General features: G+C 33.7%; 1 protein-coding gene across 15 annotated transcripts in view; it reads right to left on the bottom strand.

Annotated features, from left to right (window-relative positions):
• Positions 1–22,573, bottom strand: part of ATF7IP (activating transcription factor 7 interacting protein) — a 137,249-nt gene that overhangs the window by 22,967 nt on the left and 91,709 nt on the right. For 12 of the 15 annotated variants that reach the window (NR_170893.1, NM_018179.5, NM_001286514.2 and 9 more), the window contains 4 exons: positions 18,831–19,469; positions 13,374–13,438; positions 3,996–4,074; positions 1,492–1,647 (listed from right to left, as the gene is read on the bottom strand). Coding sequence is in view for 14 of the 15 variants with exons in the window: in NM_018179.5 (NP_060649.3) it covers positions 1,492–1,647; positions 3,996–4,074; positions 13,374–13,438; positions 18,831–19,469 (939 nt within the window). In the remaining variant the exon portion in view is untranslated. Of the gene's footprint in view, positions 1–1,491; positions 1,648–3,995; positions 4,075–9,587; positions 10,568–13,373; positions 13,439–18,830; positions 19,470–22,573 lie in introns of those variants that run through there. The other 3 variants (XM_047429149.1, XM_047429150.1, XM_011520756.4) reach the window with 2 other exon arrangements.

Below are 22,573 nucleotides of genomic sequence, written 5' to 3'. Positions count from 1 at the left end.
TTTGAATAATGACATTTCCTTCCAAAATATCTAATTTTGATGACTGTCATTATAACTTTGTATAAATGTAAAGAAAGACAGATAATACAGCTCCCAAGGTTGAACTTACTTATAACTGCCTATTTAGATAGAACAATGGTATTGAAATATGAGAACCAATATAAAATCTACACACCAGAAATAAAGTCACATAGGCACATTCTTTTGCCTGGAAATGCCAACAAGGTAAAATTTATTTTAACTGATAGGAAAGTCTGCATAAGCATCTAAGATTCTGAAATTCAACAAATCTAAACAGTCCCTACCAAAACAACCACACATTTGCTGCATCAACAATAATTTCATAACTCAAAGGTTAATTAACAAATAGTTTGCTAAATCACTATGGAAAACATCCTGATTCCTACAAGATATCTGGTGTTTTAAGTATAAATTTCACTGGATAAAACCCCACTTAAATTCAATGTTTTCCTTAATGAGAAGAGTACTTATATAAGTACTGTGCAGATAAATCTTCAAGCAATGGACTGCTGCTATACAGAAGACAAACCATGTTGATTGGTTTCTGAACAGTTTAGGAGATACAGGCTAAATCTTGAAAATTTTGAATTTACAGCTTCTTGAAAGGTAGCAAGCATATGATTCCTGGTGGTAGTGTTAGACTAGTTAAAGCTATTTCAAGATAAGACACATTTAAAAATTGTTGTTTGATCAGTCAGTTATAACTTCTTGGTTACACTCAGAATAAGTCATATCCATCCCTTCCAGAGAAACTACAGTCATTTCTGCCATTTACAGAACATTTGCTGTGGCAGATGACAAATCTGCTAATTTTTAAATTTTTTGTAGAGACGGGGTTTCACTGTGTTGCCCAGGCTGGTCTCAAGAATATAACTCAGAATAGTATTATTTTCCACATGCATTAGTAATCACCAGAGTTTTATAGATATTAGGTGAACATTATTTTGCGCAGCCAAGTAACTTTGAGAAACACTTTATATCTTAAATCATTCTTGGAGATTTACATTATAAATTAGCATAGTAAAGGCTCAGAGAAGTCTGCATCAAGAAAAAAATCAATTTAGCTTTAAACTCAGCATTTCCCAAGCATATTTAACCATGGAACTTTGTATTCATGAAACACCTGTTAACACTGCAGAATAACTAGGAATATGGTTTACAGTTTCTAAATATTATAACTCAGAATATTATTATTTTGGATGTGAATGCTTTTTAAAATTACCTCCACTTTTATTTATATAATGTTAAGTAAATAAATATATACTTTTCTTTAAAATCATTCTTTACCAGTGCCGCTGCTTAAGACAGTCAGAAAAACTAAGTTATACTGCCTTCAAAAGGACATGCACTGTAGTCCTCAAATTAACAAGATGAATATTAATTTTCTGTCTTATCTTTCCACTTAACTCCATAGTCATAGTTCTCTACAGGCAAAACCAAAGCTTCTACTCAATGATTCAACAAATTTACCTGTAGGTAGTAAGTGTATGGTGGTCTGAGATGGTCCACTTGTTGGCACCCCAGATGGTTGAAGAGGCGGTGCTGGTTGTATGGGTTGCAATGGTCGTGACACAGGCTGAGAAGAACTCATGGTTGATACAGGAGTGTGATTTAGTTTTTTGGGGTCTGTTAGTTAAAAGTGAAATATTATGACTGACAAGAAAAAAATCAGGAAATACAAGTCTTTCCTCTATGGACAAATTTTACTTTTGCTTGCCACTTGTGTGTCACATTTACCTCTAAGAGAATAATTTATTTCCATTTTACTTACGTGTATTTTTGCTGATTTGAAAACTGAGTTAAGAGCATATGTAATTTGCTGGTGGTTCTATCACAGATTCAAATTCACGTTTACAGAAATTCAGAAATAATCTTACTTGTAAATCAGTACAATATGTCAACTAGAATAACTCATTACTTGCATAAATATATAATCTACCTACCTATAGGAAGAACACTCTTCTAGACAAATATCTATAAACTGATGAGTTTTCACTGTGATCTTGAATTTCAATTACTACAATTATTTAGGTTCTTTGATAACAGATAGTTGCTTATCATCACTATATAGTCTTTAAAATAGTCAAAGAATGACTAATCTCAAAAAAGGTCTTCAATAGCCTATGAAATAAATATTTGCATCTCAGAAAAAACTCTTAAAAACAGGAAACCACTATGAAGATTGTGACCCAAAAGTCCTTCTATCCAAAATAATCCCCATCAATTTCTGTCCTATAGAATTCCACACTAAATGTAAATAAAACCCAAGGCTTTAACAATGGATACTTTAATGCCATTGGAAAACAGTGTGCTTTAGGAATGTGAGAATTTGAGACAGACCCAAAGGTGGGGCAACAAAAAGACCCCATGAGGCATGGATGCTAGGGAAATGGTGAGAGCACTGAAAACAAACTTTTAGGACTTTACTTTTTAATCCAGAATTAAGCCTACCTGTGTCCTCTCAAAAACCTGTATTTATTTTTTTCTTTAGGGATCCATTATAATAGTCATGGCTGTCTATTAAAAATTAGTGAAAGCAATAGAGATAAGTGAAAGCAATAGAGATAATTTGAAACTTTTAAAGAATAATCATACTGGCTTGAGTTCAACCCGGATGAAGGATGGCATACATTTCTCAATTCAGTTTTAAATAACAAAACCGACTTTACTGTCATATAATCAGTTGTACAGCTATTTAACTTTTGTTTTCCAAAGCTCAACTAGACTGATTCCCCAAAATATTATTTTTAAAATATTTGGGTGTTTTAGAAAAAAGTAATGTCTTTAAGATAATAAGAAGTAACTCAGCACATGATATTATATTTTCCATGTGCAATAATCACCAGTTTTATAGATATGTAGCTGAACGTTATTTTGCACAGCCAAGTAAGTTTGAGAAATACTTTATATCTTAAATCATTCTTGGAGATTTACATTATAAATTAGCATAGTAAAGGCTCAGAGAAGTCTGCATTAAGAAAAAAATCAATTTAACTTTAAACTCAGCATTTTCCAAACATACTTAACCATGGAACTTTATATTCATGAAACACCTATTAACACTGCAGAATAACTAGGAATATGGTTTACAGTTTCTAAATATTATAACTCAGAACATTATTATTTTGGATGTGAACGTTTTTAGAAATTACTTCTATTTTTATTTATATAATGCTAGATAAAAGAAATTAATTCAAATGACCAAAATTAAATGAATACATATATATACAGTATCTGCACTGAAACATAAACAGAGAGAGAAAAAGAACATTTAATGTAGAGACAGAAGAGCTGGATTTTACTCCCAAGACCCTTACTGAGTCTGAATTGTTTTCTCTAAGGCTAACAAGTTTCCTCAAGTCTAAAATGAGTATTACAGGATTTTTTTGCAAGGATCAAGTGAAATAACAGATACAAAAACAGAGGTACTCCAAAAATTACAATATTCTCTTAATTGCTGTTTTCCTCTACACATTGTTCATACTCATTTAAGATTTGATTCTATCCTTTTTTTTTTTTTTTTTTTTTTTTGAGACAGGGCCTCATTCTGTCACCCAGGATGGAATGCAGTGGCATAAACACAGCTCACGGCAGCCTCAACCTCCCAGGCTCAAGCTATCCTCCTGCCTCAGCCTCCCATGCAGCTGGGACCACAGACACATGCCATCACACCCAGCTAATTTTTAAATTTTTTATAGAGACGGGGTTTCACCGCATTGCCCGGGCTGGTCTCAAACTCCTGACCTCTTGCCTCGATCCTCCTGCCTTGGCCTCCCAAAGCACTGGGATTACAGGTGTGAGACACTGCACCTGGCCAAATTTTAAAATTCTAATCTAAAAAACTTCCATTCCAAAAAGAACACAAATAAACCAAGCATAATGCCATAAACATCTGTCTTTGTAGAATACTGTACCGTATTAAGACAAAAAAAATGGTATCAAAACGTTGCTTAGTACAATTACTATTGAAGTACCTTGTGAAGCTCCACTCTCTTCATCATCCATTGTGAGATCAATGACACCACTTGAATCACTGCCAGTGGCTTTTCCACACTGAAAAACAAAACTTCTACATTTTACAAAGAAAACTCTGGCAGATATACGTGTTAAAAAATGAGATGATAAGTGAGGTAAAATGAGACTAATGAGTAACCTGGTTCAATCTGGACCCTTAAATGGCTGTACCTGAATAAAGAGAGTTTGTCAGACAAATGTCCCAGGATACTCATGTGTTAAACATCTACTATATGAAATATAATTTTCAAAAGAAATTCAAGACGTTTTCTTAAAAAAACTAAGCTATCTGTTGCATAGAGCAAATAAGATTAAACAGAAACACTATTCATTTTGTGACATTTAAAATGTTGATCAATACTACTCTAAATTATCAATATTAATCTACCACAACACCAAAGGCAATCATTAAAGCTAGAATTGGGTTATAGAAAATAATCTAAATTTTTGCCCTAAAAAAATGGTATGGTATACTATGAAATCATATGGTATGCTATGCTATTAACTGCACATCCAAGCTGACCAGTAACCCATCATCCAAAATCATGAGAAATATTAGGATTATAAGAAAAACCTTTAAAACCACATGACAGCAACCAAAAAGGAAGGTAAGACGACATAAACCTAAAGAGCCAGGACTCTGAAGTCAGTGTGTCTTACAGTTCTAACTTATTAGCTACCTGATTCAGATGGGTAATTATCTCAATTTCCAATATTTGAATATTGAGGCTATTGTGAGGATTAATCCAAATGTGTATATAAGGTGCTTAACACCATATATGATACATGGCAATTGCTTAATAACTGATAATCACAATTTACTTTGATATATTATACTGAGATCAATTCCAAATGATAAAGGTTTTCATCTGCGATACTCAAGTTGAGAAATTAAAGAAAATAATGCCTTGACTTTATAATATCCAGGCCCAATCCCAAGACAATAATGCAATTCTCATTCTTATAAATCTTTCTACAATAATGATTTCACAGAAAATGGGTTATTTACAAACACCAAAAATCTATAAAATCCCAAACTAAAAGATCCCAAAAATCATCAACAAATGTAAAATAATCTTTCACTACAACATATTATCATTAAGGTCCAGCTTTGAAAAGTGGAACTAACTTAGGACGAAAAAATAAGTCAATACAAACTGACTCTAAGCAGAGCCAGATATTACATCCAGCAGATAAAGACTCGAAAGTAGCTATTAAAAATATGTTTAAAGCCAGGAGCAGTGGCTCGCGCCTGTAATCCCAGTACTTTGGTTGGCTGAGGCAGGCAAATCACAAGGTCAGGAGTTTGAGACCAGCCTGGCCAATATAGTGAAACCCCATCTCTACTAAAAATACAAAAATTAGCCAGGCATGGTGGTGGGTGTCTATAGTCCCAGCTACTCGGGAGGCTGAGGCAGGAGAATCGCTTGAACCTGGGAGGCGGACGTTGCAGTGAGCTGAGATTGCGCGACTGCACTCCAGCCTAGGTGGCAGAGCAAGACTCCATCTCAAAAAAAAAAAAAAATTCAAAGAATTAAATATAATAATAACGAATGCACAAACAGGAAATTTCAAAAGAGAAAAAGAAACTGAAAAAAAAAGAAATAATAAAGCTGAAAAAATAATTACTAAAATAAAAATTAGCTTAATGTAGGCATAAAAGCAGATTGGAGGGGGCAGGAAAAACTCAAATGAAATTGATGCTAGATCAATAGAAATTTTCTAGTCCATAGGACACAAAGAAAAACAGAAGAAAATATGAAAAACGCCTGAAACTTGTGCAATAAGAAACAGTTCAGCAAAACCCTAAATGAGAAGAAACAAAGATCTAAAGAAAAAATTGAATAATAACCAAAAACTTCCCAAATTTGGTGGAAAACATTAGTTTACAAATCCAAGAGGTTCAACGAACCTCAAGCAGAAGAAACACTAAGAAATCATAACTATACACATCATAGTTCAAATACTGAAAACCAATAATGAAAAATTTTGAAAATAAACAGAACAAATTATACGTTATACAGGAGCAAAGAGTAACTGCTGACTATTGGTCAGAAACTATGGAAGCAAGAAGACACTGGAACAACATATTCAAAGTGCCGATAATTTAAAAAAAAAAAAACCTTTAAGAATTCTATATCCAATGATGCTCTCCTTGAAAAAAGGAGACAAAAGATACAAAAGTACATTTTTTAGATACTAAAAAACCAAGAGAATGTATCACTAGCAGATCTACACTGTAAAGATGAGCTTAAGGACATTCTTCAGTTTGAAAGGAAATACCAACTTGGATCATAGGAAGAAGAGGACCAGAAAAGGTAAACATAAGGATAAATATTAAAGACTATATCTATTTTCTGTTCTTAATTTCTTTAAAATTCTATAAGGCAAAAATTAAAAACAATATATTTAGAGATCTACAACATGAAGATTAAAAACAATGTAATATATGTGCAAACAAGACCACAATATATGTGAAAACATGAACGTCATATTTAAGGAAAGCAACTTCATTAAGGAGGTAAATGTACACATAAAATTGCAAGGTTCCTATAATTAAGATTAGATACATACTGTAAACTCTAGAACAACCCCTAAAACACACACACACACACACACACACACACACACACACACAGAGAGAGAGAGAGAGCGCGCTAAAAAGCTAACAGAGGAATTAAGACAGAATGCTTTAAAAAAAACTGATACAAAATAAAGCAGGAAAGAAGGTACACAGAAACCAACAAAAAAAGAAAACAGATGAAATGAATAGAAAACAAATAGCAAAATAGCAGACCTAAACACAATCCTATCAATACTTATATTAACTATAAATGGTCTAAAAACTCCGACCAAAATGTAGAGATTATCAGATGGGATAACACAGCAACAAATCAAGAAATATGATTTTTTTTCTCTTGCGGATTCACTTTAAATATAAAGACACAGATTGAAAGTAAAAAGCTGAAAAAAGTAACATGCAAACAGTAAACATAAAAATGCTGCTGTAGAACCATGAGCCAATTAAACCTCGTCTTTGTAAATCACTGAGTCTCAGGTATTTCATTTTAGCAATGTGAGAAGAGATTAATATAGTGTGTGTGTGTGCATACATTCATATACATATATGGATGACTGAAGATGAACAGAGATTTGAACTAGAGGTTTAAATATGCCAGACATAAGAATATATGCAGTAACTGAATCCCAGGAGTGAATGAGATCTCCCAAGAAGAGATGTAGAGGAAAATCAAAAGCATGTGAATGGCATGGAAACCAAGAGAAACTAATGTTTCAAAAAGGAAGGAGACTGAGTGGTGCTGAATGTTATTAAGAAGTCAAGGTGAAGAAAAATGGGAAAGATCTGGACCAGGGTGGTTTCAGGAAAGAAAGGGCAACAAAAGTTACTGGTGGGGTGCAGGTGGGAAAATAGGTATGCGTATATACCTACATCCCTACACACATTCAAGCTGGGCAATAGCAACTACAAGGTCAAACAGTTGACAGAATATTCACTTGGTGCTGATAAATGATTGCTAATTAGTATAATTTTTATTTTCTAAATAACAAAGAAATGTGTGACTAATTTATAAATGAAAATCATGCTTTTTCATGCTTTTCATAACCACATTTTTTTCATAAAAACGCAACTTGATGGCAACTTTTGTCTCATCATTTACTATTAGCATTTATTCAATAGATAAGGATGCTTACTTAGCATAAAACACTACTAATTAGGGGCAGGGTAATAAGTCAGATATGTAGCCAGATTTCAAGGCATTAGAGGGCAGTTAAGATGTCCTTAAAATACTACACTATAAGGCTATACGATATATGTGGCACTAATATACACTTTGGCTTTAAAAAATAAATATGGATAGATACTTTTATTCTAAAGGCTTTTAATACAATATACATGGAATATTGGTTTTAAACATTCAATTGTTAGATCTGCATTCCTCCAAGAGCATCATTGCCTTTTTCCAATGATCATTTCTTAAACTCTATACACACAGGTAACTTAGAAAAGTAGCAAGATAATGAATACAGGGTCCTACCTCCTTATATGGTTTGGCTATGTCTCCACCCAAATGTCATCTTGAATTGTAGTTCTGATAATTTCCATGTGTGGTGGGAGGGACTGGGTGGGAGGTAACTGAATCATGGGGGCAGTTTCCCCCATGCTATTCTCATAGTAAGTTCTCACAAGATCTGATGGTTTTGTAAGGGGCTTCCCGCTTTGCTCTGCTCTCATTCTTTCCTCCCTGCCCTTATGTGAAGAAGGACATGTTTGCTTCCCCTTGTGCCATGACTATAAGTTTCCTGAGGCCTCCCAAGCCCTGTGGAACTGTGACTCAATTAAACTTTTTTCTTTAAGAGTTAAAAAAAAATGCTGCTGTAACTATGTTAATGTCAGAGAGACAAAGAGGGAAACTTTATAATGATAAAAGTATGGCAAGATTACAAATTATACATAAAAAACACCATGTAATACAGTGTCAAAACCTATGAAGCAAAACTGACAAAATTAAAGGAAGAAATCGATTCACAATCATACCACTCTTAGTAATAGATAAAACCACTACAGCAAAAGGCAATAATCAGTAAACATACAAATAATCCAAATTACACTACTAACCATGCTATATTGACATTTATAAAACATTACACCCAATAGCAGCATAATCTTTTCAAGTGTAATGGTACATTCACTAAGATATATACCATAGATGGGGCTTTATAACACATATTTAATTTGTGTAAAAGTAACAAAGTCATACAGAGGATATTTTCTAAATCCAATAGCATTAAATGAAAAATCAATAATAAAAAATTTGCAAAATCCCCAAATATTACGAAATTAAACAAATTACTAACTAAACAACCCAGGACCCAAAAGGAAATGACAAGGAACTACATGAAATAAAAATGCAACACATGAAAATTTATGGAATGCAGGCAAAGCAGTGCTCAGAGGAATATGTGTATCATTAAATGCTTATATAGATCAAGAAGATCTACAAGCAATGACCTAATGATAAATTATGATTTTTATTGATCATAAACTGACAGATACAATTTATTATCATATACTACAAGTAGTTTCCTGAATAGACTTTCTTTTTTGACAAATAAAATTGGTAATTATTTCCATAATTATTAACTACATTTATAAGATAGTCATGATAGCTAGCACTACTCCAATTAGACTCTGTGCTAAATGCTTTACATGCATTAACACATTTACTCTTCCCAATATTTCTATGTGGTAAGTACTAGCTCTAGCTCTACTTTATAAGTGAAAAATCTAAGGTGTTCAATAACTTGCCAAAGCACCCACTATTAAGTGACAGGCTCCAGGCTGTCTGACTGTAGACCTTATTATTTCTATGCCACCAGGTGGAAATGAACAAACAGAGACATGTATACATATACATGTATCTTTACATCTTTTCCTGACAAAACATTGTCTGAGAAATCTAATCAGAAACACGTTTATGTTTTTACAAACTGAAACCTTCAGTTTGAAATCATTAAAAAATTATATCAAATAGTTTTTAACAGTAGAAATTTTATTAAAAACTTAGCTAATCATGTGTCGTTTTCCAAAACGACCAGTCTCAATAAGCAAACACTAAGAAAATTTCAAGAGAGCAAACATATTGGCTTTGTAGCTTTTTTGTAATGAAACAAGAATATACTTGAAAGGCACACTTCAGCAAATGTGAAGAAAGAGTTCACGCAGAAGAGCTGGTTGTTCATTCCTTGCACATCTCTCCAAGGGAACTTGGACCCATAATTGAGACTTGGTTAGTTATCAAGAACGTTGCCCTTGGAAGTCATGTTAACAATTAATTCTCTTATATACACTCTGAACAGTGAATGAAGATTGATGATGTACACTTGGGTTTCATTGTTGGGATCCTGAGTTTCCAATGCCATGGCCACTTATATAGAAAAATGTCACTATGTGACCAGACCTCCAAAAAACCTCAGACCCTGAGACTCAGTCAGGCTTCTCTGGGAAGACTCTTGGCACATGTCTCTAAGGTTAATAAGCCAGAGAAAAAACAAATTCTGTGCGATCCCAGACAGACGACTTGGAAGTCTTTGCCTGATCTCTCTGAACTTCAACTCTGCAAATTTTTTTCCCTGTTGCTCTTGCTCTATACCTTTTGCTGTGACAAATCATAATGGTGAGTATAACCTACTACTGGGTCTTATGAAATCCTTCTAGCAAATCAGCAAACTTAAAGGTGAATCTTGAGTCCTTCAAAACAACAATTACAGATAGCAACACTATTTTATAGCTTATGTTGATAATTTGAATAAATTTGTTTTTCACTATATAAAACAATTCATTATATAAAATGATATATAGTAATAAAATATACAATAATAAATTATATGCAATATGTTAATAAATACTTATTTGGGGATATCAGATAAATCTTCATTTAACAACTACAGAAAGAGTATTTTACATATTTCATCATTTGCTAATTAACTACAGCTCACAAGCATTTCCACACTAGATGTCCAAGTTTTTTTTTTTTTTTTTTTTTGAGACAGTCTCATTCTGTCACCCAGGCTGGAATGCAGTGGCATTATCTTGGCTTGGCAACCTGCAACCTCCTCTTCCCAGGTTCAAGTGATCCTCCTGCCTCAGCCTCCCAAGTAGCTGGGATTACAAGCGTGCACCACCACGACCAGCTAATTTTTGTATTTTTAGTAGAGACATGTTGGCCAGCCTGGTCTCGAACTCCTGACCTCAAGTGATCTGCCCGTCTTGGCCTCCCAAAGTGCTGGGATTATAGGTGTAAGCCACTGCACCTGGCCTGAGACATCCAGATTTCTTCTGATCTAAATAACCTTAAAGTGTTAACAAGTACAACTAAGTAGGCTTGGGACAGAAAAATGAAGTTAGCCAATTGTACTTAAAATGTGACAATTCAAAGAATCACAGGCTACCTGTTTCACACTAGTTTCTATCTGCTAGCAAGGTGCACATTAGGGTAAAAAGATAACAACTTCTTAGTCAATAGTGTAACATTAATAAAGGTATTCATCACAATAACAAAAATGATATTTGTTTCAAAAAATTCTGGCTGACAAGCATAACTTCATAACTGAAAGCACATATATACTTCCATTATGGTTTCTTATTACACAATAAAACTCCTGTAATTATATTTATTATTCATATACATAATTGACACTGATTCAAAACTGAAACTTTGTTATTTTTGATAAGGCATTGCTTCAGCAGGCTAGCTGCTCAAACTGCTTGTACGCATTTTTTATACTCAGATATTAAATTCCTCTTCCTTGAAGCCAAATAAAATATCTATTGAGAGCTTAATATTAATTTGTACTATTGCTTTGCTTTCTGATGAAGTCAATTCCTGTTTCAAGTGTCTTTTTTTTTTTTTTTAAGTTTCTTCTTTTTTATAGAGACGGAGTCTCACTTTGCTGCCCAGGTTGGTTTCGACCTCCTGGGCTCAAGTGATCCTCCTGTCTTCACCTCCCAAAGTGCCGGGATTATAGACGTGAGCCACTACACCCCACCTCAAGTGTCTTATATTATATCCATTTTAATTTCACTTATGTATTTATGATGTTACATATATTATATTTCTTTTTTTTTTTTTTTTTGAGATGGGATGGAGTTTCGCTCTTTCACCCAGGCTGGAGTAAAGTGGTATGATCTCAGCTCACTGCAACCTCCGCCCTCCTGGGTTCCAGCAATTCTCCTGCCTCAGCCTCCCAAGTAGCTGGGATTACAGGTGCCCGTCACCACACCAGGCAAATTTTTGTCTTTTTAGTAGAGTTGCGGTTTCCCCATGTTGGCCAGGCTGGTCTTGAACTCCTGACCTCAGGTGATCTGCCCGCCTCGGCCTCCCAAAGTGCTAGGATTATAGGTGTGAGACACCATGCCCAGCCACATATACTATATTTCAGCAAAATATTCTATACAATAGAGTTTAATACAACTTTTTGCAATGATGAAAACAGTCTGTATCTGTGTGGTCCAATATGCTAGCCACTAGCCATTTGTAGCTACTGAACCTTGAAATGGGGTTTTGACTGAAGAACTAAATTTTTAATTTAATTTAAATAGCTACATGTGACTAGTGGCTATCATATTAGATAGCACAGCTCTAGAAGAACCACCATTTACAAAAGGACAAAAGACAGCCATCATAATGTCCATTTTCCTTTCCTTGAAAATATTACTTGTTAAAAAAAAAAAAACTCACTGAGGGAAGTAGAGATGTTCATAAATCCTTTGTTTAAAGTTTAACTAGACTTCCTATAAATGTCACTTAAGTATCACTGAATATATCAACATTTTCTATACATCTTCCAGAAAGTATCTCAATCTTATAATTTTAATTGAAAACATAGTTATAACCCACAAGACATGCTCAGAAACAATCACAACTCTGATCTCTAATACTGCACACAAAGACTGCTAACATTTCTAAGAAGTTAAGATATTTTTAATAGCTTTTATTTGATCTATAAACTATGGTGTACATCTAGGTTGGTCAAAATCCATCGTTTTTAAAGAAAATAGTCATATTTAAAGATCAAATGATGCCCTTGTTTTAAAATTCTTGTCATTTTTTCATGCCTGACATGCTCGAGATTTTTGTTCTGCTGGGAATATATGAGCTCCTTGAAATGATTCAAAGGAAGTGAAGAAAATAAAATAAAACTATCAACAATCTAATCACTATAAATTCACTACACCTAAAGCCATAAAGAACAAGGAAGAACACTGTTAATACAGGAAAGAAGTAGTTATTCTATTACCGGGTGGTTAAGATTTAATATGAAAAAGTACAAAGACTGGCAAAGTGCTAGTAAACAAGCAGACAGACAAAAAATTCTTCCTCAAAAGGTATTTCTGATTACCTTTGGGGAAATTAAAAAGGTGGTAGGGGTAGAGTGTGGTACAAGTGAAGGTAAACCAATGAGACACTCTTAAAAAAGATGTACCTGGAAGAAATTACATGTGTTTTCTTTTTGCAGACAATCTTTACAGTATGTAAAGGCAAATGACTGGATTGTCAATTGTATTAATCAAATCAGTCAGTTAATAGAATAAACTAATTATTACCTCTAAGAGAACTGTTATGCAAAAACAAAACAAGACAAAACACAAAAACCTCAATTCTTGTCAAACATTACAGAGAAGCTGTGAGACAATGTTTGGATAGTTATAAAAAACACACATAGAACAATTTTCATTCAATCAAAGAATGATGAAAATTCATTTTCCTGTGGACCATAATTAGGATTTTACTTTGAAGAAGAAGGAAAAATCTTACCTGTGATGTGCTATCAGCTGCTTTCTTACTGACAGAAGCATCTATTGTTTTGTTTGTCTGGTTTTCTGAAAAGTAAAAAAAGCCATTTTTAAAAACATCTACAAAATGTAAAAAGTTAAGTTGCTTTATATGAAACAATTCATGTAGTTTTCTCCAACTACTTTTCCGTCAACATGTCACATACATAAATAAAAACTCAAATTCACAGACCACTGCTATAGTATCTTTCAGATACCATACAGATTACTATACAGATCACAATACAGATTAAAAAAAACTTTCCACTGGCCCAGCAATTTTAACTCTAAGCAGTATCTCATGGAAATAATTTAAGATACACATAACTTAAATGTTCTAACATGAGGAAATAGTTAAACAAAATATAATTCCTCCACACTATGTTCTTTTGGAGAAAAAAATTTAGTATGTCAAAAATGTTCCCAATAAATTCAGTAGAAACAGTTGCAGTAAATCCAAGAAAATACACATGTGTATTTCTCAGTAGTTCAATCATCGGTGATTTTTCTTTCTTTGTTCATTTTTCAACTAACTTGTAATGAGTTCGCAGTTAAAAAATGTTACTTTCAGAACAGCACAGAAAATAAACAAAGTATATTTTGTCCCAATTTCTAATGGGAGGAAAAGAGAGAATGTATTAAATTTTATCAAAGGTTTTTTGCACCTATTGAGATTATTTAGGGTTTCCTGTTTGGTAACATGGAGTTTTTAAATGTTGAAACAGCCCATCCTTTCTTTCTGGAGATAAAACCCTCTTGGTCAAACTATGGCATTCCTTTCATTTGCAAATCTTCAGAATGCATACAGAGTAAACAATTTATGTTTAAAAAAATACAGGAAGTTAAACTACCTATGTATTCCCATATGTATATATATAAGTCTGTATGTCTAAAAAATCAAGTTGGGTTAATATTCACCTGTTAAAAGAGAAGTATTCCAGGGTACAGAAGTAAAAAGAATGCCCTTTGATTTCTCCTACCTTATCTGAATTACCTTCTTTTTGTAAGAAGAATATTAATATATTATCTATTTATTTAAAAATATATTCAAATTACCTCATTTATTACAAATGAGCATCTGTTTTGGACTATGAAGTTCCTGAAAGACTAACAAAACTAATTTTAGGCTACTGATGTTACACAGTGGAGTATTAAGATACACTAGGTGATATTACCAAAATATCAGTGATTACTACCAAAGGTTTTTATATACAATGTTAAAATACATTCATTTGCATTTGAAACACTTCCATCTTCAAATCAAAATAAAAGATAACTTTACATAAAAAGTAGATGAGGAAGTTTCACTTTTATATTTTTATTTTTTAATTCTTTATTTTATTTATTATTTTTTTTCTTTTTGAGACAGAGTCTTGCTGTCACCCAGGCGAGAGTGCAGTGGCACAATCTTGGCTCACTGCAACCTCCATCTCCCAGGTTCGAGATTCTCACGTCTCAGCCTCCTGAGTAGCTGGGACTACCAGTGTGTGCCACCATGCCTGGCTAATTTTTGTTTACTTAGTAAAGACCTGCTTTCATCATGCTGGCCAGGCTGGTCTCAATCTTCTGGCCTCAAGTGATCCACCTGCTTCAGCCTCCCAAAGTGCTGGGATTATAGGCATGAGCCAACATACCTGGCCTCATTTTTATTTTTTGTCATAACATTTTCATATAAGAAAATTCCTAAAGATGCAAGAAAGATTTAGACTGCTTAATAAAATGTTACACACACATTTCTTTGTTACCCAGCATGATTCTCTCTTAGACCTAATTGCCTCAGAGCTATGTTAATTATTCACAAAACTGTAATGATATTCCTTATTCTAGATTCTCAACTAACATTCCTTGCCCGTTATTACAGATTTTTTCCCTTGATTCTTAATGTAACATCTTATAGTTCCATTGCATTGCTTTTCCTTTCTTCTACAAGATCTACCTTGGATGACTTCTGGATATAAATATTATAACTCCATCTATCAAGCAACAAAACTGGTCAGGATGTAAAATAAGAAATTATAGCTTAAAATCCTTCTATCATATGGAATACGTCTCCATAAAAATACAAATAAAAGTAAATAAAATTAAAAAGCACTTTACAGGAGTTAAACTGGCAGTTATCTCTTAGTAGCTCTGGATAATTGTATGAACAGAAAAAAGGCAAACACTTCGCTCATTTAATTATGTCCTTGAAGAAATGGTTGAAGAAATAATTGCTGTGTTTAAACTCTCGTTTGTTTGTTTTTCTTTCTGAGACAGGGACCTCCTCTGTTGCCCAGGCTGGAGTGCAGTGGCACGACCATGGCTCACTGCAGCCTTGACCTCCTGGGTTCAAGCAATCCTCCTGCTTCGGCCTCCTGCTTCGGCCTCCTGGGTAGCTGGGACTGCAGGCATGTATCACCATGCCAAGCTAATTTTTTATTTTTTGTACAGATGGGGGTCTCACTATATTGCAAGGCTGGTGGCGAGCTCCTGAGCTCAAGCCATCCTCCTGCCTCAGCCTCCCAAAGTGCTGGTATTACAGGCATAAGCCACCATGCCTAGCCAACTCTAGTTTTATATAGTCTTAGAACAAGATGTTTAATGAAATCTGAGAGAGTACATTGTATATGGATTGTATATAACTTTCCCCCAAATCTGTTCTTTTTTTAATATCTAGTTTAGTAAATGGAACAGCATTTAACAATGTCTTAGAAAGCTGAGTCATCTTTGAGTTCTCCATCTCTTCCACACATCTGAACTTTTATTAATTACCAAGTACTGCCAATGCTACCTCTTAAATAACTTTTAAATCTTTTTCATACCACCATCTCTCATCTTGTACAGTACAAGAGCCTCCAGCCTCTTAATTGGTCTTCCTAACACTATTCCTACCCCTTCCAAACCATTCTCCATACTGTAACCAGGGTTCATGGATGTCACATTACCCCCTACAAAAACCCTTTAACCGTATTTCCCCCATTCTTCTGTTCATTACTTCATATCTTTCCAGATTTCCCATGTTCTCTTTTGTCCTCTCACAAAAACCTGCAAATTCTAACACTCATCACATTTATAATTAATTAGTTATTTAATTACCACATTCCCTATTTGATTGTAAGCTTGGTGAGATCATAGTGACTATTTTATACATTTCTGTGTATCTAAAGAACCTAAGATAATACAGACATTCATTACTTTGTGAATGAATGAAATTAGCTATAGTTTGAGCTTTAAATTTCCAAGCCCTTAGGACATTTACCTCACTATAAACAGAAAATAGTGATTTAAAATCCATAAGGATATACTTAGCTACAATAAAATACATACAAATGCATGAACATATAGCATATGTTCTTTTAAGTAAACATAATACCCACATAAGTATAGAGCTTAGAAAATTTTAATTATATAACCTAATTAATTAATCACAAACTACTAAATGTAGTAGAGATGTACCAAAGTTTGGTTTCAGTTTAGGTTTTGGGAATCCTAAAAAGCCAAATGCCTACTTTAACGTCATTTATGGCACTGCTGAAATTATACCTGATCAAATAACATATTATAAGTAATAATTTATTAATAAAGTCAGAAATGAAGAATAAGCAAATTCATAAAATCTCATTTTAGTTAGCATTATGAAAAAAATACAAAGCTTGTCATTCACATTTATTCATTATCAAATGTAGGTAAGCATTCTAAATGGAACTTGAAATGAAGATCTTGATATAATTACATATTAAAAATATATAAATGTACATGTTAAAATATACAATTTTATGTTTAGAAATAATTGTGCATTATCTCAGAATGCTATACCAATTAATGATTGTGAAAACTTACTTTTATATAAAAAAGTTAAGAATAGTCAAATGAAACAGACTGACATGAATTACTAATAGTGTACATCAACCAGATAATTTGGGGAATATATCCTTTCTATAAAAATTGTAAGAGAACAGAATAATGAAATTATAATTCTGACACTTTTAGAAGTGTTTGGAGTACAAGCATGACATTAAACAAAATACTCTTAAAATATTTCAAGCCATGGTTTTTCAGGAAAAGTTCTCTATTTAAGAATATATCTCATCTCATGACCATGAATTTAAAACAATGTCAACCTTGCCTCAAAATTTCATAAGGAGGAAAACCCAAAATCACATAAAACAATGTCCATCACTAAATGATCTGACATTAAAAAATACTAAGAACTAAAAGAAAAAGAAGTTACAGAAAAATAAACTATCACCCAAAAATCTTGTATGTCCACTGACCTCAGTTAAAAGTAAGCATCTCTTTTAGTGTTGTAAACATGAAAGAATATCCAAAAAATAATGTGGTAGCAGATAACACTAACAAACATTTGCCCTGTACTATGCAAACATTTAAATTGTAAATACTATAAATAATAATTACACTTTCATATAAAACATTAGTTTATTCTTATAAATATGATAATGATGAGTGATATCCAGCTTCAATCCAACATTAATTTTGATCTGCCATTCATTTACTTTCTTAACAACTCTGTGAAATACCGTCATTGTTTTATATGAGAAAACACTTAGGGAGTAACTACACTAGTAATGGCTATATGACAAATAAAAACTAAGGCTTGTACATCTCACTTATAAAAGTAATTTTGTACTTTAGAATTTGTTTCCTATATTACATGGTCACTTACAACATCAATAAGAAAAATACTGTAGCAATTTTACTAGACACATGATGCCTACCCTTGCATGACTTTCCAAAAGTAGTGCACATAAATGTGAAGTCAGAAATGAAGAATAAGCAAGTTCAAGAATGCATACAAAACAAACTCTTTCTAGGAACTAGGAAGACACAGAGTTTGGCAGATTTTAAACAGGTATAATCAAGTGCTCCTTTTTGCAATATTTCTAAGTAAAATACAAACAATCATATAATATGTCATATGGGAAAACACGGAAAAGATAAAACAAGAAGGACTCAAACATTTTATAGCAAATGTGAAAGAAAAACTTATTTTTAAGTTGTTCAAATTTGGAAGCTATGAGTGAGTGCACAAAGGATTTTCCAAATGGGTAAGGAACATAAACGTGTCTTTTTTTCTTAAAAGCATATATTATGTAAATTTGATACTTTAAAATGTTTTAAACGATATTGCTGGCAAATGTATCATAAAAGTAACTCATAATGCTTGCCACAAAGCCATAAATTAAAAATTCACCAAACTTAGGAAAATTACTAAAAGATAAAACACAGATACTAACTTCTAATTCAAAATAAAACCCCTCTCAAGCCCCATTTTAGCAACATCATTTCTCTCAGGTATCTAAAAAATTACTAAAAATAATCAAGAAAATTCTATTTATTTTGTACTTCCAATAACGCTAGCCACTTAGAAAAAAAAAGTTCAATCATTACAAGGCTATTAAGATGCTTGCATTTCTAGTATTAAACCTACATGGTGACTTACCAATTCTTGGGGTGGTATTGCTGTTCTGTTCTGCAGCAGACGAAGTACTAAATGCAGAAATTGGAATTTTCATCTGTATAGGACCTCGATTAGTTGATGGACTATAGAGTCCTGATGGGCCCACTGTGGGTAAAGAAGTCCTTGTGGCTTGTACAATAGAGTGTGCTGTTGGAACAGCCTGCACAGCAAGTGTTGTTCCCAATGGTGCAGCACTGGCAGTAGGGTTCCTTTGAATACTAGGACTGGGCACAGAAGGAACGTTGTTTGGTTTAGTGGGATTTGGCAAGGATGGCAAGGATACTGGATTTTTGGTAAGACCACTCACTGTAGGTGGGCTTTGCACAGAAATGAATTCAACATTGCCAGATGGTTGATTAGTCACCAAAGTCCCTGGATGGCTCTGTAGAAGCTGAGGCTGGGAGGATACTGCAACAGGTACATGCAAAATCACTGGCAAAGGCTGTAAAGAGATTGTAGGCTGGGGATTTCCACTAGGCACCTGAGTAGTAGCAACTACAGTAGCTGTATTGGGTGCAGGAAGAACTGACGTTGCTGTGAGGGAACCCGAAGTCACTGGAGTCTGCAATTTAGGTTGACTACTGACAACTGCTGGAGGAGTGACAAGATTGGTTGAAGATACTATAGAAAGAAAACAGAAGCCTCAGTTTAAATGGTTATATTAATTTATCAACTAAGAAAATATGACAGACACAAATTAAATACATTGCGTAATACATTGCAAAGACTGTAAAGTCTTTTATCATGAAATTTTTTTCCAGATTTAAATTCCAAAATTTAATTTAGAATTAAATTCATAGAAGCATTTTGCATGTAGTTTTAGTAAATTACAAAAACAGCACATGATCGATGATTAATATGCAAGACTACTGAGGATCAAAACGGTCTCTGAAAATTACTATAATCACTTTAGAGTACCTAACTAGTAAACAAATAAAAAATACTAAAAAGTTAAGTAAAAATATATATTTTTGAAACTACATTAAAAACATTATAAATGCCTTACAACACAAGTAATATATAAACTCAAATAGTAAATCTAAAAAGAGTCATGACCATTAATGAATAACAGGTAGGCTTACTCATCGTATTTTATTATTTGAACCATGTCTGTATCTTTGGATCAAGTTTGATTGAATTCCTTGGGAGAGGAACTATTGAGGGGAGATTCCCTCTACTGACACCCTACTGACATTGTATGATATGGAAAACAGCACTGAGCGAAGATGACAGATGAATTAAGAAGAAATGAGGTAGCATATACAGAAGAACAGAGAAAATACAAATGCTGGTCACTAGTTTTATAATAATTTTCAACTACTTGTGTTTATTCTCATTGCAACAGGTTTAAAATACATGACCAAACTTCTTTCTCATTGATTTATAGTCTTTCCAAAAATAACAGGTTCACTAGAGCAGCAGTTTCTCAAAGTGTGGTCCAGCGGGGTGCCTGGGGTTTTCTGAGACCCTTTCAGGGAGTTTGCAATGTCAAAACTATTTTCATAACAATGAGACATTATTTGACTGTTTAAATAAGCAGACATTAGCACCAATGGAGCAAAAGCAATGCTAAGTAAAACTTCTGATGCTTTAGTACAAAAATCAAGGTAGTATAATGGGACCAAACATCGCTGCATTCTTCATCACATGCTTACAGTAAAAAACAAAGTCAGTTTTACTTAAGAATCCCCATGATACAGCGGTAAAAACTATTAACTTTATTATATCTCAACCTTTGAATAGGGGTTCTTTTCTTAATATTCCATGTGAAGAAATAGGCAGTACATATAAGACAACTACTGCGTGCCAAAGTAGGATAGTTAAGGAAAAATGCTTGTGCAATTGAGCTGTAAACTCAACTAGCAGTCTTTCCCATGAAACACTATTTTTACTTGAATGAATGACCTACAGACACACTGATAATTCACGTTTGGGTATTTTGAAGATCTTTTCTTAAAAATAAACTAGGTAAGCCAGTCACTTCAAAGAAAAAAGCCCAACTGTATTTATCAGCAATAATAACATTTGGGTTTTAAAGCAAAACTAAGAACATTAGAAAAAACTTGTATCTGTCATTGAAAGCATGACAGCTCCCTAAATCCTTAAAATACTTCTCTGAGTAGAACTGATAGTAAAATCAGTAAATGTAATTTTTAAAAATAATATTTATTAATAAAATGTGTCATTTGGAAGATTTGCATAACTTGGTGAATAGTTTTCAAATGATCAATGAATAATATTAGTAAAACTCCATCCAAGTGCAAGATAGAGGAATGGATTTTTTTTTTTTTCTAAGACAAGGTTTGCCTCTAGCGCCCAGGATCGAGTACACTGGCGCAATCTTGGCTCACAGCAGCCTACACCTCCCGGGCTCAGGCCATCTTTCCACTTCAGCCTCCTGAGTAGCTGGGACCACAGTTGTGCACCACCATGTCTGGCTACTTTTTGTATTTTTTGTAGAGAGAGAGTTTCACTATGTTGCCCCGGCAGGCCCGGAACTCCTGAGTTCAAGCAATCCACCTGCCTCGGGCCTCCCAAAGTGCTGGGATTACAGTCGTAAGCCACCACGCTTGTCCAATAAATGGATTTTAATGGAGGAGTTAGAAAAGTTCTTTGGTGTGGTTTCAGATTACACTTCACAACCAACCTTAAAGAAACTACTACTGGATAGTATTAAAGAAGAATATCCACAATTATCTGTAAGGGCTAGCCCTTTTCCATCTATATATTTGTAAAAGACTGGATTTCTTTCATATGCTTCAGCCAAATCAACATTTTAAAACAGACTAAAAACAGATATAGATATGAGTATACATACCTTTAAGCTATCTTTAGCTGTCTTAATGTCTCAAAGTATTAAAGAGATATGTAAAAAATGTAAGAGAATAATGCTCTTTGTGCTGCTATTTTTAAGCTTGGAAAATACACAGTTTCATTTTAAAAAGCTTTTTGTGTTAGACATTATGAGTTTACTATTACTTTATCTATTTTTATATTTATTATTTATTATTTTTTTTTTTGAGAGGAAGTCCCACTCTGTTGCCCAGGCTGGGGTGCAGTGGCGTGATCTCGGCTCACCGCAAACTCCACTTCCCGGGTTCAAGCTCAATTCTCCTGCCTCAGCCTCCTGAGTAGCTGGGATTACAGGCACCAGCCATCATGCCTGGATAATTTTTGTATTTTGGTAGAGATGGGGTTTCACCATGTTGGACAGGCTGGTCTCAAACTCCTAACCTCAAGTGATCCGCCTGCCTCAGCCTCTCAAAGTCCTGGGATTACAGGCATGAGCGACCAAGCCCAGCCTACTATTATTTTAAATGAATAAACATTTTAAAAACATTTTTAAATTTCTGTTTAATTTCTACTTCATTTCGACTGATAATAAATATCAATGGATGTAACCCACATAAACAAAAGTTCTGGGGTTCTTAATAATTTTTTAAGATTGTAAAGGGATCTAGAGACCAGAAAGTTTGTGAACTACTACAATAGAGATTTGAATATCTATACTGTATTTTCACATATACTTATCTATGACCCTAAATTTTTTTGTTTTAAGAGACCAACTGGATTCCATTATGTTGCCCAAGCTGACTTGAACTCCTGGGTTTGGGTAATCCTCCTCAGCCTCCTAAGTAGCTGAGACTATAAGCATGTGCCACCATACCCAGTTTGATCCTGAATTTTTAACAAAATTTTTGTACTTAGACCAATGTGCCCAATTT

The sequence above is a fragment of the Homo sapiens genome, chromosome 12, assembly GCF_000001405.40.
Source record: "Homo sapiens chromosome 12, GRCh38.p14 Primary Assembly".
NCBI classification, from domain to species: Eukaryota; Metazoa; Chordata; class Mammalia; order Primates; family Hominidae; genus Homo; species Homo sapiens.
This window is presented reverse-complemented; position numbering and strand designations above follow the sequence as displayed.